Source organism: Homo sapiens, chromosome 10 (assembly GCF_000001405.40).
Source record: "Homo sapiens chromosome 10, GRCh38.p14 Primary Assembly".
Taxonomy (NCBI): Eukaryota; Metazoa; Chordata; class Mammalia; order Primates; family Hominidae; genus Homo; species Homo sapiens.
Genome location: NC_000010.11, coordinates 115,516,338 through 115,529,231, shown reverse-complemented (window position 1 = coordinate 115,529,231; position 12,894 = coordinate 115,516,338). Strand labels below are relative to the sequence as shown.

At 36.9% G+C, this 12,894-nt stretch overlaps 1 protein-coding gene across 9 annotated transcripts in view; it reads right to left on the bottom strand.

Annotated features, from left to right (window-relative positions):
- Positions 1-12,894, bottom strand: part of ATRNL1 (attractin like 1) — an 855,635-nt gene that overhangs the window by 419,768 nt on the left and 422,973 nt on the right. For all 9 annotated transcript variants that reach the window (NM_207303.4, XM_011539587.2, XM_011539588.3 and 6 more), the window contains one exon: positions 9,908-9,969. In NM_207303.4, the coding sequence (NP_997186.1) occupies positions 9,908-9,969 (62 nt within the window). The remainder of the gene's footprint in view (positions 1-9,907; positions 9,970-12,894) is intronic.

Sequence of the window (12,894 nt, the reverse complement as noted above, 5' to 3'; positions counted from 1 at the left end):
AAATGATTAAAACAATAATTCAACTCCATTCTCAGTAAAGGATAGAACAATCAGACAGAAGATAATAAAGGAAACAGAGGTCTAGAGCAATGCAATAAACCACCAAGATCTAATAGATATATACAGGATATTCTACCTAAAAACAACAGAATACATATTCTCCTGATGGGCACAGAAGACATTCTCCAGGACAGAATATATGTTAGGTAACAAATTATATCTCGGTAGATTTTAAAAGATAAATGTGCAAAGTATCTTCACCACCCACAGTGGGATAAAGTTAGAAATCAAAAACAGAAGAAAAACTTGAACATTAAAAAGTATGTGGAAATTACCAACACACATTTGATCAATGGTTGAAAGACAAAATCACAATGAAATTAGAAAATATTTAGAGAAATGTGAAAATTAAAACACAACATACCAAAACTCATGGAACACTGTAAAGCAGTGGATAAAAGGGAAATTTAGTTATAAACATACTAAAAAAGAAGAAAGATCTCAAATACGCAACTTAACTTTACAACTTGAACTAGAAAAAGAACAAACTAAATTCAAAGGTAGCAGAATGAAGGAAATTATAAATATTAGAGCAAGATAAACAATAGAGAAAATAGAAAAACAATAGAGAAAATCAACAATACCAAAAGTTGATTCTTGAAAAAGAGCAACAAAATTGGCAAACCTTTAGTTAGACTGACCAAAAAAAAAGAAAAGAGAAAGAAAACTGAAATTACAAAATTTAGAAATGAAAAGTCGGGTCATTACTGCCAATTCTGCAGAAATAAAAATGATTATAGGAGAGTACTATGAACAATTATACACTAATAAATTGGATAAGCTAGGTGAAATGGACAAATCCCTAGAAACATAAAACCTACCAAGATTGAATGATAAAGGAATAGAAAATGGAATAGATTTATAACCAGTAAGGAGATTGAATCAGTAATCAAATATACCACAACAAAGAAGCCCTGAACTCAATGGCTTCACTGATAAATTCTACCCATTTAAAAAATAACTAATACCAATGCTCAAACTTTTCCCAAAAAGTGAAAAGGAAGGAACAATTCCTAAATCATTCTATGAGACCAGCATACTACATATTAATGTCTACAGAATGCAGCTGAAGCAGATTATTTTTAGAAATGAGAAGGGAAAGGAAGGAAGGAAGGAAGGAAGGAAGGAAGGAAGAAAGGAAGGAGGGAAGGAAGGAAGGAAGGAAGGAAGGAAGGGAGGGAGGGAGGGAGGGAGGGAAGGAGGGAGGGAGGGAAGGAAAGAAGGAAGGAAGGAGAAGGAAGGAGGGAGGAAGGGAGGAAGGAAGGAAGGAAGGAAGGGAGGGAAGGAGGGAGGGAGGGAAGGAAAGAAGGAAGGAAGGATAAGGAAGGAGGGAGGGAGGAAGGGAGGAAGGAAGGAAGGAAGGGAGGGAGGGAAGGAGGGAGGGAGGGAGGGAAGGAAGGAAAAATAGGCAAAATTCTCAATAAAAGGGTAGGCACAATTCTAATATAGAACAAACTTCAGAGTATTAATATTGTAAATATGTCAATGAATTTATAAAATGAAACAAAGAGTACAACTTCCATTAAAAAGCCAATTACCAACTAGGTCAGGAAAAAATTAAAAACCTCCATAGACACAAATATTACTGAAACTTAGTCAAATTTAAAAATCTACCCTCAAAAATATAAACTACACAAAAATAAATACAAACACATTACCAAAATCATTTTTTACAGGTTTTATAGGTCAGTTCTATCAACCATCACACAACAAATAACTCCATTGTGCCAACCACTAAGATATACTTCTCTGGCTGGGGACAGTGGCTCATGCCTGTAATCTCAGCACTTTGGAAGGCCGAGGTGAGCGGATCACTTGAGCTCAGGAGCCTGAGACCAGCCTGGGCAACACGGTGAAACCCCATCTCTACCAAAAATACAAAAAACTTAGTCAGCTGTGATGGCAAGCTCCTGTGGTCCCAGCTACTCAGGAGGCTGAGGTGGGAGGATCGCTTGAGCCTGGGAGGCAGAGGTTGAGTGAACTGAGATTGTGCCACTACACTCCAGCCTGGGAGGCAGAGTGAGACCCTATCTCGGGGGGGAAAAAAAAAAAAAAGTGCCTCTCTGATCCCTGATGGCAGAGAGCATAACTGACTAGTGGCCCCAGCTACTGCACTCTGAAATCCATCATTTTATTCACACTGAGCCCATGCTTCCCAAGGGCTGTCCTTAGTCAAGGACTAAACATGGCAGAAATACCAAGGCGGGCCTGTTCCTGGGAGATGGAAGACTCCTTTGATGGGTAACTTTTGCTCAAGGCTACACCACTGGTGTTAAACATTCTTAGAAGTGCCCTGCATTCTCAGGCTCTTTCACTCACCTTCCCTTTCTTGCTTCTCTCCCTCACAAAGGCAGGTAGGCATTGTGGTCTCAAATTCTCCCATTATCTCCCCTCCCTTCTCCCAATTTCCCCTCACAGAAGTTCCCCTAACACGTTTATTGCTTATCTAATCCCATCTTGGCTTCTGTGTCTCAGAGGACTTATGGTCCAAGTAAACAGAAGGTAAGATGGAGATGAGGAACTGATTCACTCACTGATTGGCAGGCTAAGAGGACAACATCCATGTTGGTGGGTGGAACACAGTTCCTGGCAGAAGACTTAAATTGCTGGATTTCACCAGTGGTGACCTGAGAAAATGCACTGATAGAGAAAATACTTGAAGGTACAGCAATTCAGGTGCTTGGAAGATGGGGAAAACACCTTCAAAAGAGAGTGGAGTAGAATGATTATCATTATGTTGTATTGATACCTGCAGAGGGATAATGAGAGACTGAAGGCCATTAACAAACCATTTACTGGCTAAATAAAAGAGCCAGTGGGTCTCTTTCATAGCTTTAAATGAGGCCCTGATGACTGATAGCAGAAATGCCAACATGAATGACCAGCAGGATGATGATCTAATTGTTGTAGAGTTGCAGAGCTCCAGAGATGACAGAATGCTAAGCCAAAGAAGTTGTGTTATGCAAAAAGGGCCATGGTTCAGGAGACCTAGGAACCTGAAATATGGAATAGGAATATATGAATGAATGCTTCTGAGGATGTTGGTTTTACCAACCGCTTCCCTAGCAATACCTAGCATTTCGTTATGCTGGAAGACACTAAAGAGCTCTCTTCTCTCTTAGGTAACAGGTGCCCCCTCACAAACTGTCACCACTTCTTTTCTTGGCTGCCAGACTGATTAGGGGGATTAAATCACAGCATGACCCAACTGAGCCTGATACGAAAGAAAATGGATTACACAATTGATACGGATGCAAGATTTAGGGAGCACGTACTGGCAGGAGCCATGGAAGTATGACCAGATTTAAATATTTGATAAAGGGCAACGAAATGTTAAGACTGGATAAATAAAAACTCATTGGTTTTGGTGCATATTTTCAGGACCACAGAGATGTAATACCCTACTGAGGATTCCAGGGAATGGAGCAAACTTGTTGCTAGAGTGACTCGTAGAAGCCTGAAAAATGCAATGTCCAGTACAAGTGAAATTGAAATGCCTGGGTTGTCCTGGCTTATGGAAGAGAAAGTTATAAAAACACTGAGAGAAGGGGATATGCTGGAATGGTTTATATTATAGGAGGCCAGAAGAACTACCAGGTTGTGTTCCATGGGAGGACTCAGAGGACAAACTATGCATTAAGGCTGTTATGAATATGCTGATAAGAGAGGCACCAGTATTATAAGGAGGCTTAGAGCTGGCTCTCCTCTTCAGAGCAGTCCCGAAAATACGAGAGATAGTCACAGGGCTAGGTTTGTTAATTGCCATAAAAAGATGGAGACCCAATGTAATAGACGACAGGTGTCAGCGCTTAACTGCCAGAATCCAGAAACCACAATTACCATAATTAGATCAACAAGATTGGACGAACTGCCAAGGGGGTTGGCTCACAAAGAGTTGTAGGGATTATTAATAAGGCATGGTATTCTGAAGGGAAAATAGGTGGGCAGCCAACAGTGGTACTATTTAACATCTGGTTTCATTTTAAGTAAGAATGAAGGAACAGGAGACTGAGGGTTGTTGCTTCAATGGAGGGCCATGTTTCTCTTCACAGTTCCCAGATTTCAGCTAATTTTAAAATCCAAAACCGATTAACTAATCAGGTGACTGAGTCCATAGAAGGAAGGTCCCTGAAACATTTTGAAAAGTGGGTAAAATGATCCCTGAAAATACCTACACCATAAACTTGATTATATACATTGGTATATGCATGAGGATATATATACAGTACAGGAGGAATAAGCAGACATTTTGACTACCATTAGACATGAGGGCCTAATTGACTCCCATTAGACACAGATAGCCAAGCATTCAAAATATCATCATGTCCTCTTATTAGAGTTGGGGTGTTCATGGGGTGGGGGCACATAACAAATTCTGACTAAATTCTTGCTCACAGTGTGCCCACTATGTCAATGGATCCACCCATTGGTCATTTCCCCACTCTTTAAGTGTATAAATAGAACTGATGTACAAGGTAGCTGGAATAACCTCTACACTGTGTCCCTGGCTTATAGGATAAGATCAGTCATAGTGGAAAAGACCAACTGGTAATCTCTGAAACTACTCCCAACTGGACAAGTTAATAAATACAAAATATAATGTCATCCAATGATATAGAAAATTAATGCCACCACTAAAAGTCTAACACAGGGATAGTAGTCTCTACCAAATTTCCATTTAATTTAGTTCTTTAAAATAAATAATTCAGACTTTTCTGACTCAGATACATCTACTTTTCCATTTTACACACAAGAAGAGTTTATTTAAAAAATTATTCTTTTCAATTTTTGAATTATTTACTATATTATTTCACAGCAACAACAAGAAAAAAAAACCTTTAGTTCAATATATGAAAGGACTGAGATTTAGAGAAGCTAGGTGACTGCTATAGTTTGGATATTTGATCCTCCAAATCAAATGTTAAAATTTGATACTCAATGTTAGAGGTGGGGCTTAATGGGAGGTGTTTGGGTCACAGGGGTAGATCCATCATAAATGGATTTGTGCCATCGTTGTGTCTCATGTTCCCATGACAGCTGGTTATTTAAAAGAGTCTGGAACTTCTGTCTTCTCTCTTGCCTACTTTCTCACCATGTGATCTCGATCTCTACACATACCAGCTCCCCTTCCTCTTCCACCATGAATGGAAACAGCTTGAGGCCCTCACCAGATGCAAATGCCAACACCATACTTCTTGCACAACCTGCAGAACCATGAGCCAAGTAAACCTCTTTCCTTTATGTATTACTCAGCCTCAGGTATTCTTTTACAGCAATGCAAATGGACTAAGACAGAAAATTGGTGCCAGGAAGTGGTATGTTGCTATAAAGACACCTAAAAATGTAAAAGTGGCTTTAGAACTGGAGTGCTCATAAGATAGAAAAATGAGGGAAAGTTTGGAACATCTTAGAAATTGGTTAAGTGGCTGTGACCAAAATGCTGATTGAAATATAGACAGTAAAGGCCATGTTGAGGGTCTCAGACTGAAATGAGGAAATCACTGGAACTGAAGCAAAGATAACCTTTGTTATGCCCTGTCAAAGAACTTTGCTACATTGTGTCCATGACAAGCAGCAAAGTGCTCAAGAAGTAATGTGGCTGCTTTTAACAGCTTATGTTCACATGCAGGAGCAAATAAATAACCTAGAGTTGGAATGTATAATCAAAAGGAAAGCAGGGGATAACAATTTGTAGAATCCTCAGCCTGGCCATGTGGCAGAGAAGGAAAGAGTGTTTTCAGAAGAGTGCTGGGGTAGCAAACACTTGTTAAAGAAAGTAGCATGAATAAAAGGAGCCAGGTACTATTAGTAAAGACAATGGGGGAAAGACCCTGAAGGCATTTCACAAATCTGGCAGGCTTCTGGGCTTCCCATCACAGACCAAGAGCCCAAGGAAGATGGTATGGTTTTGGATGACAGGCTTGGGACAACATTGCCATGCCCCATCTCTAGAAAGTGCTCCCCACATCTCGCTGCTCAAATGGCCCCAGGTATTGTGCCTACTGCCACTGAAGGAGGCTAGAAAGTATGAGTACTAGAGGCTTGTCGGCTTCCACTGAGATTTCAGGGGATGTATTGAAAAGCCTGAGTGCCCAGGCAGAAGCCTGCCATAGGGGTGGAGACCCTGCAGACAGATGCTAGTGAGGCAATGCTGAGCAGAAATATGCGGTTGGAGGCCCTGAAGAGAGTACCCACCAGGGATTGCCTAGTAGAGCAGGGCTATGGTGCATCCATGTTCCCAGGGTGCAGGACATGGAACCAAGGGAGATAATTTTGGAGCTTTAAGATTTAATGTCTTCCCCGCTATATTTTGGATTTTCATGCAGCATGTTATCACTATATTTTGACCAGTTTCTCCCTTTTGGAATGAGATGTTTACTCAATATTTGTTCCACCATTGTATCTTGGAGATAAATAATTTGATTTTGATTTTACAGGCTCAAAGCTGAAAGGAACTTGCTTTGAGTCTCAGATGAGACTTTGGACTCTGGACTTCTGAGTTGATGCTGAAACAAGTTAAGACTTCTGGGAAGTATTGGGATTAAATGATTATATTTTGTATGTGAGAAGAACACCAGGGATTTGAGGGGCCAGGGATAGAATGCTATAGTTTTAATATTTGACCCTCCAAAGCACATATTGAAATTTGATACCCATCGTTGGAGATTGAGCCTAATGAAAGGTGTTTGAGTTGCAGGGGCAGACTCCCTGTGAATGACTTGGTGGTGTCCTTATGGTAGCAAATGAGTTCTCACTCTATTAGTTCCCAAGAGAGCTGGCTGTTTAAAGGAGTCTCTGGCTGTCACCTCTTCTCTCCCCATGTGATTGCTACACATGCCAGCTCCGCTTCCTCTTCTGCCATGAGTGGAAGCAGTTTGATACCCTCACCAGATGCACATGCTGGCACCCTACTTCTTGTACAGCCAGCACAACTGTGAGCCAAATAAACCTCTTTTTATAAATTACCCAGCCTTAGGTATTCCTTTTCAGCAATACAAACAAACTAAAATAGTGACCTACTTAAGATGGCATAAAACATTAAGAACAGAGCCAGGGTATGTCTGTAAGTGATCTCCCTAGTACTGGCCCAATTATGTTTACCATCAGAACTACACACAATATAGAGGTAAAATCTAACAAAGAGTTTGAGAACCAGCCCCTACAGAACAATGGCTAAACTGCAAAGCTGACGCACTCAGCTCTGTTACCAAAATAACAGCAATAACAGTAAAAATGGCCTGATTGAGGGGTCTCCATAAATGTTAACCTGTTTTAAAATCTCCTAAAGTTTAGCAGTAGCTTTATAAAACTTAATAATTGATAAGCTTCAAAATATCCTGTCCATATTTTTCTTAACAATGACCCAGTTTTTTAAGTGATCTAATTTACATTTCACTACTGGAAGAATTTAAATGACAAAAAACCCATCAAATATATTTTATCACACCCAAAGATTAGAATATTTTATTTTACATTGTCCATGATGACAACATAATAAATAGGATCATCTCTAAGACATGGTACACATTAACAGTAATTTTCTTTTACTTAACAAAAGAGCTATTGAATTTAAATATGCACACAAATTCAAAAGCTTAAAATAAAAAACCTCAAGATTCAAATAATTTACATACATATTCAACTTTGTGAAATTTTTCACTTAACCAAACTTTCAGTGAATTTTCTTCCAGACTATTCTGCATCAAAAAGTTTTTTTTAGACCAGGCATGGTGGCTCACACTTGTAATCCCAGCACTTTGGGAGGCCGAGGTGGGCAGATCATCTGAGGTCAGGAGATCGAGACCACCCTGGCCAATGTGGTGAAACCCCGTATCTACTAAAAATACAAAAATTAGCTGGGCGTGGTGGCACGTGCCTGTAATCCCAGCTACTCAGGAGCTGAGGCAGGAGAAATGCTTGAACCCGGGAGGTGAAGGTTGCAGTGAGCCGAAATAGCGCCACTGCTCCAGCCTGGGTGACAGGGTGAGACCCTGTCTCAACAACAACAACAACAACAACAACAACAACAACAAAAGTTGTTTTAATGCATTCAATAATGCTTGTTCAACTGTAATTTCTAGTACTTTCTAAAACCATACTGTAACTTTGTTAATAGCCTTAAAATTCATTTGTTTTCTGAAGTACAAAGTTGTAAAATATTAAACATATTTAAGATGTTTCCTCAAATTTCATTTTAAGGAACAATTTAAAGTACGAATGCACTTTTTACACATATTAGTGATAAATATGTTTATAGAAATACATTATAGAAATTATAATATTTTAAGGTGCATGGATGAACATGATTGTTTTCAGAGTAAACTGACCAATATGGCAAAGGTTTCTCTTATCAAGAGAAGTAGAAAAATGAACAAGGAATGTGTAAACCGTAGAAAATACTTTACAAATCTGAAGGGCTGTAAATGGAAATGAGAAATTGAAATTGTTATATATGGGCCCACATGGAGGAATTAGGAGAGATATCATAGGGAGGCAGATTTCAGCTCAGTTATAAAGAACAATTTGTTATCTGATGATAGAAAATGCCATCTGAGGAGCTAGTGAGCTTCCTGTCATTAAAGGCATTCAGGCATAAAACTGATCAGTGGTTGGGCAAATTATGTCCACAGGCTGAATTCAATCCACCAGCTGTTTTTATAATAAAGTTTTATTGGAACACAGCCACTCCCATTTGTTTCCATATTGGCTTTGTCTGCTTTAACACTATAGCAGAAAAGTTGCATAGATGCGATGAAGACCATACAGCCCACAAATCTTGAAATATTTACTATCTGGCCCTTAATGGAAAATGTTTGCTGACTCCAGTGAAGAAGGTATTAGAAATTCAAATACTTTATGGATATCTGGACAAGACAATCAAAAAGATGATGGTTACTTTGTGTTTAGACAAGTTCCAAATACATCATCTGTGCTAAGGATTGAGTTGTGCAGGTCTTTACTGTATGGCAGCCCAGCCAAGTTGGTGAGTGTTGGTTAAAATTCATACTGCACTATTTCCAAATTTGTGTGCCATGATGTGGGGCTGTATCTGCCAGAAGGAGAAGTCATATTTGTCTAATTTGTACAAAGGCACCCAAATGACCAGCATAAACTTCACACGTGAATAATAATGTTAACAAAAATAAGATCTCTTCCAATCCAGAGGATCTACGATCTCATAACACAGATATTTTATAACTTAAACTCCTAACCCAGAGTCTCTACATTTACATCCCATGGAAATGAAAATAAATGTTCCCTGAAAACAGTTTTCATGTTTTGAGAAATGCTACAAACTATAACCTCTCTTGTAGAATGACATATTGCAAATTAGCATTTTAAAAGCTTTGAGAAGTAATGCCAGTTGAAAACCAACCAAAAGAGCACTATTTAACTTTAGGACATGTAGCATTTTACAAAGCTGCTTCACTGTGGAGCCCTTTTTATGAACCTACAACGAATATGTCACACAATTAACAAAATTAACTAAGAAATAAACAAATTGGTTTAGTTCTTGTAGATGTAACTAATCCATGTGGTGCATGCATTGTTAATTTCATTAATTAAAACAGGCTATAATTATTTATGTGATGGGGGACACAAAGTTATCCTCTTTCCACTGAATCCATTGGCTATTAAATAGTATAACAGCAAAATAATCTTGCACAAGTACATTTCAGCTATGTTACCTCTCCTCTGTGGGATATATTTAAGCATATAAAGCTATTCAAGACATACTCTATGATACTTTAAGGTTTTAGAATTGGTCGATTATCTAACAGATTGACAGGACATATATCAGAATACAGGCTTGAAAAGTTCAAAGTCAGTCAAAGCAAACTTTTACCTGAAGAAGGTGACAAAAAACTGCACAAGGTCCATGATTGTATTGTGTTGTGAGAATGCAATCTGAAAAATCAAAATAAAAAAAATTGAAAGTATGTTCTTCTCTAAAACCTGTGGTGATATTTCATGACATTTGTAAATACAGTTTTTCTAAATCACCAAGACATTTGGATCATGATATTATAAATCAAATATGTGATGGAATGAAAATTTCATCTAGAATACCTAATATATCCAACTGCTAATGATGGTCATAGTGTAGAATACGACATTAAATATTTTAAAAACTATTATATAATTACTTTAAGGATGCACGCTAAGAGTTTCATGTGAAATACTATGACAGATTAAATATGCCTAACCAAAACACCCACATTTCAACTCAGCTAAGAAAACAGGGAATTTTCTCCCTATATAACTTCATCTGGGGAAGCTTCATATATATATACAAATGTTTTGTTACACACCATTCAAATAATAAAATATGTCACATCATTTTAAAACTTGTTAATGTTAATAAGAAGTTAATTTTAAAAGGTGAAACTAGCCAAAAAGTTGAAGTCGTTCTCCATTTCTGTTAACATTATAGAGATCATACTGTAACATCTGTCCTGAGGAAGTGTATTATAGTATATCAATCAACAATATAGCATCTGGATAGAGAATAACTGATTGTGTAATGTGGTTTTTCAATTACTAGCCCTGTATATTTTGAAAAACTAGTCTATTTCTCAGTTTTCCCATATGCGAATGGTAATAATAAAAGCATCTACCTTATAATGTTATAGAAAATCTAACTGAATAGAAATTTAATGTTTACCATAATTTCTGGCATGTAAAAGTTACAATATAAACATTATTAAACTTTTGTATCATGTATAAATGAGATGTCAATATAAGTGAGTTTTCCCACATTGCTGAAGCTAAACCATTCAGGTATTAAAATCTCTTTTTCTTTTAATAATATTTTATGAAAATGTTGCAAAAACATAATAGAATTTCTACTGAAAATGGACTAAAAGGAATGAGTTTTCCCTCCTGCTGTAAACAACTGGAAAACTAGGTGAAGTATCTGAAACAACCAATTTCAGGCATTGGACAACTGGCCAGAGATTATGATCCCTGAGTGAAGAAAAACAAAGGAAATTAATCCTATAATTGTCCCAGCTTCCAGTGCAAGGAAAGAACACTAAGGAATTTAAATGGCATTCTAAAATAAGGGATGTCAGTATTTCTTATGTAAAGAATTACAGTAAGTTGAGAAAATGATTCTTTGGCATGTACATGTAAGCTTAAATATAGTAATATTCATTTCCTACAAGCTTCTAAGCTATTGAATTATGAAACACTTATACAAAGGCTGAAGAAAGATAATTGGCATAGGAGATTGGTTATAGGTGAAAATATTATAAAAGATTAAAGAAAAAACATCTTTTAAAGTTTAAAAGAATGAATTTTCTTCCCAGGTCTTTGTCCATAGAATATCATAGAAAGGAAGCTTATCAAAGAATATTGTCAACAAGAACTTAAATCCATGGTAACAGAATTCTGGAAACAATAATTAAGAACAGGAAAAATCTTCAAAATGATAATATTTTGAAATCATAATAAAGAAAATTAGTTTATTTAAGACAAATTGGAATAGGAGGAAACCTTACGCAATGTTGATAAATACCTAAATGAAAAGGGGGCATAAGGACCTTGAACAAAGGCTTGAATAAATTAGCAAATATATAAAAAAAGAGAACAGATGAAATAACAAATAAAATAATAAACATAACATAAAATTAACTGAATAAGATACAGTGCAATTGCAGTAAATGTCAACAGGGTGAATCCACATTGAAAGACAGAGATTTTTGCAGTAAAGATACAATTCAGCTTTACGTTTTTAGCAGAAAACACATATAGAACAGTGACACATTTTTATCTAAAATATAAAATACTGTAAGAAGATATAATAGGCACTTAAAAACAATAAAACATATAAACCAATATTAATAGCAAAGTGAAATTCAAAGGCAAAACCTGATCAAATAAAACACTGAGACAAAGAAAACATAACAATAATAAAACAATATGCACCAAAAATACAGGCCAAGTAAGTAAAAACACAATCTCTGGACATATAAGGGGAATTTGATAATGGCAAAATTTTGGAAGAAATTATTAACATGCATATCTCTTTTAAAAGTTATCTGATCAAAGAGACACAAAATTGATCTACTTAAATCATTTAAATCATGTAAAAATATTCAAGAAATAGTCACTAAACAAGCTCTGTTCTACACCATTGTAATAAGACAAAGCTCCTATTATTTTGGCTTTTATGTTCTAATAGCAGGAGGGAGAAAATAACCAGGTGAACTTGTAGGGGGATATCACAATTGTTGACAGTGGTGTTTTGAGTGGAAAAAAACAAAGATGATATGAGCTAGGAGGATTTGCGGCTAATTTGGATCCGGTGGTTAGAGCTGCTGGCCTCACTAAAGGGGTGATATATGAGCTTATATCCAAATAAGAAGTTTAAAAACACACAAATATCTGTTGGTAGAGGTTTCTCAAGTGTAAAGATGATGATTAGGTTAGACATGTTTATGAAAAGTCATAAGATCTGGAGTATTGTGAGCAAAGGACAGAGTAGTTGTAAATAAATTCAGATTAGAAAGCAAAAAGCAAGTCACATAGGTCGTTGGCCATGACAAAGAGTTCGGAATATATTATAAGGGCAATGGGAACCCATGGAAAGTTTTGAGCTATGGGAATGACATGATCTAACTCTCAAGAAAAATATCATTCTGGCTGTTGGGTGAGAAAGAAATAATTGGGGAAATCCAGAAGATAAGAGAAGAGGATATTTGATTTTTCTAGTCATAAGGCAATAGTAGCTTGCACAAGGGTAGTAGTCATCAAGACAAAAATAAGTAGTTAGGTACATAATTTAGAGAGAGAAGTGAGGAGACGTGCTGAAGGATTAGATTTGACAGG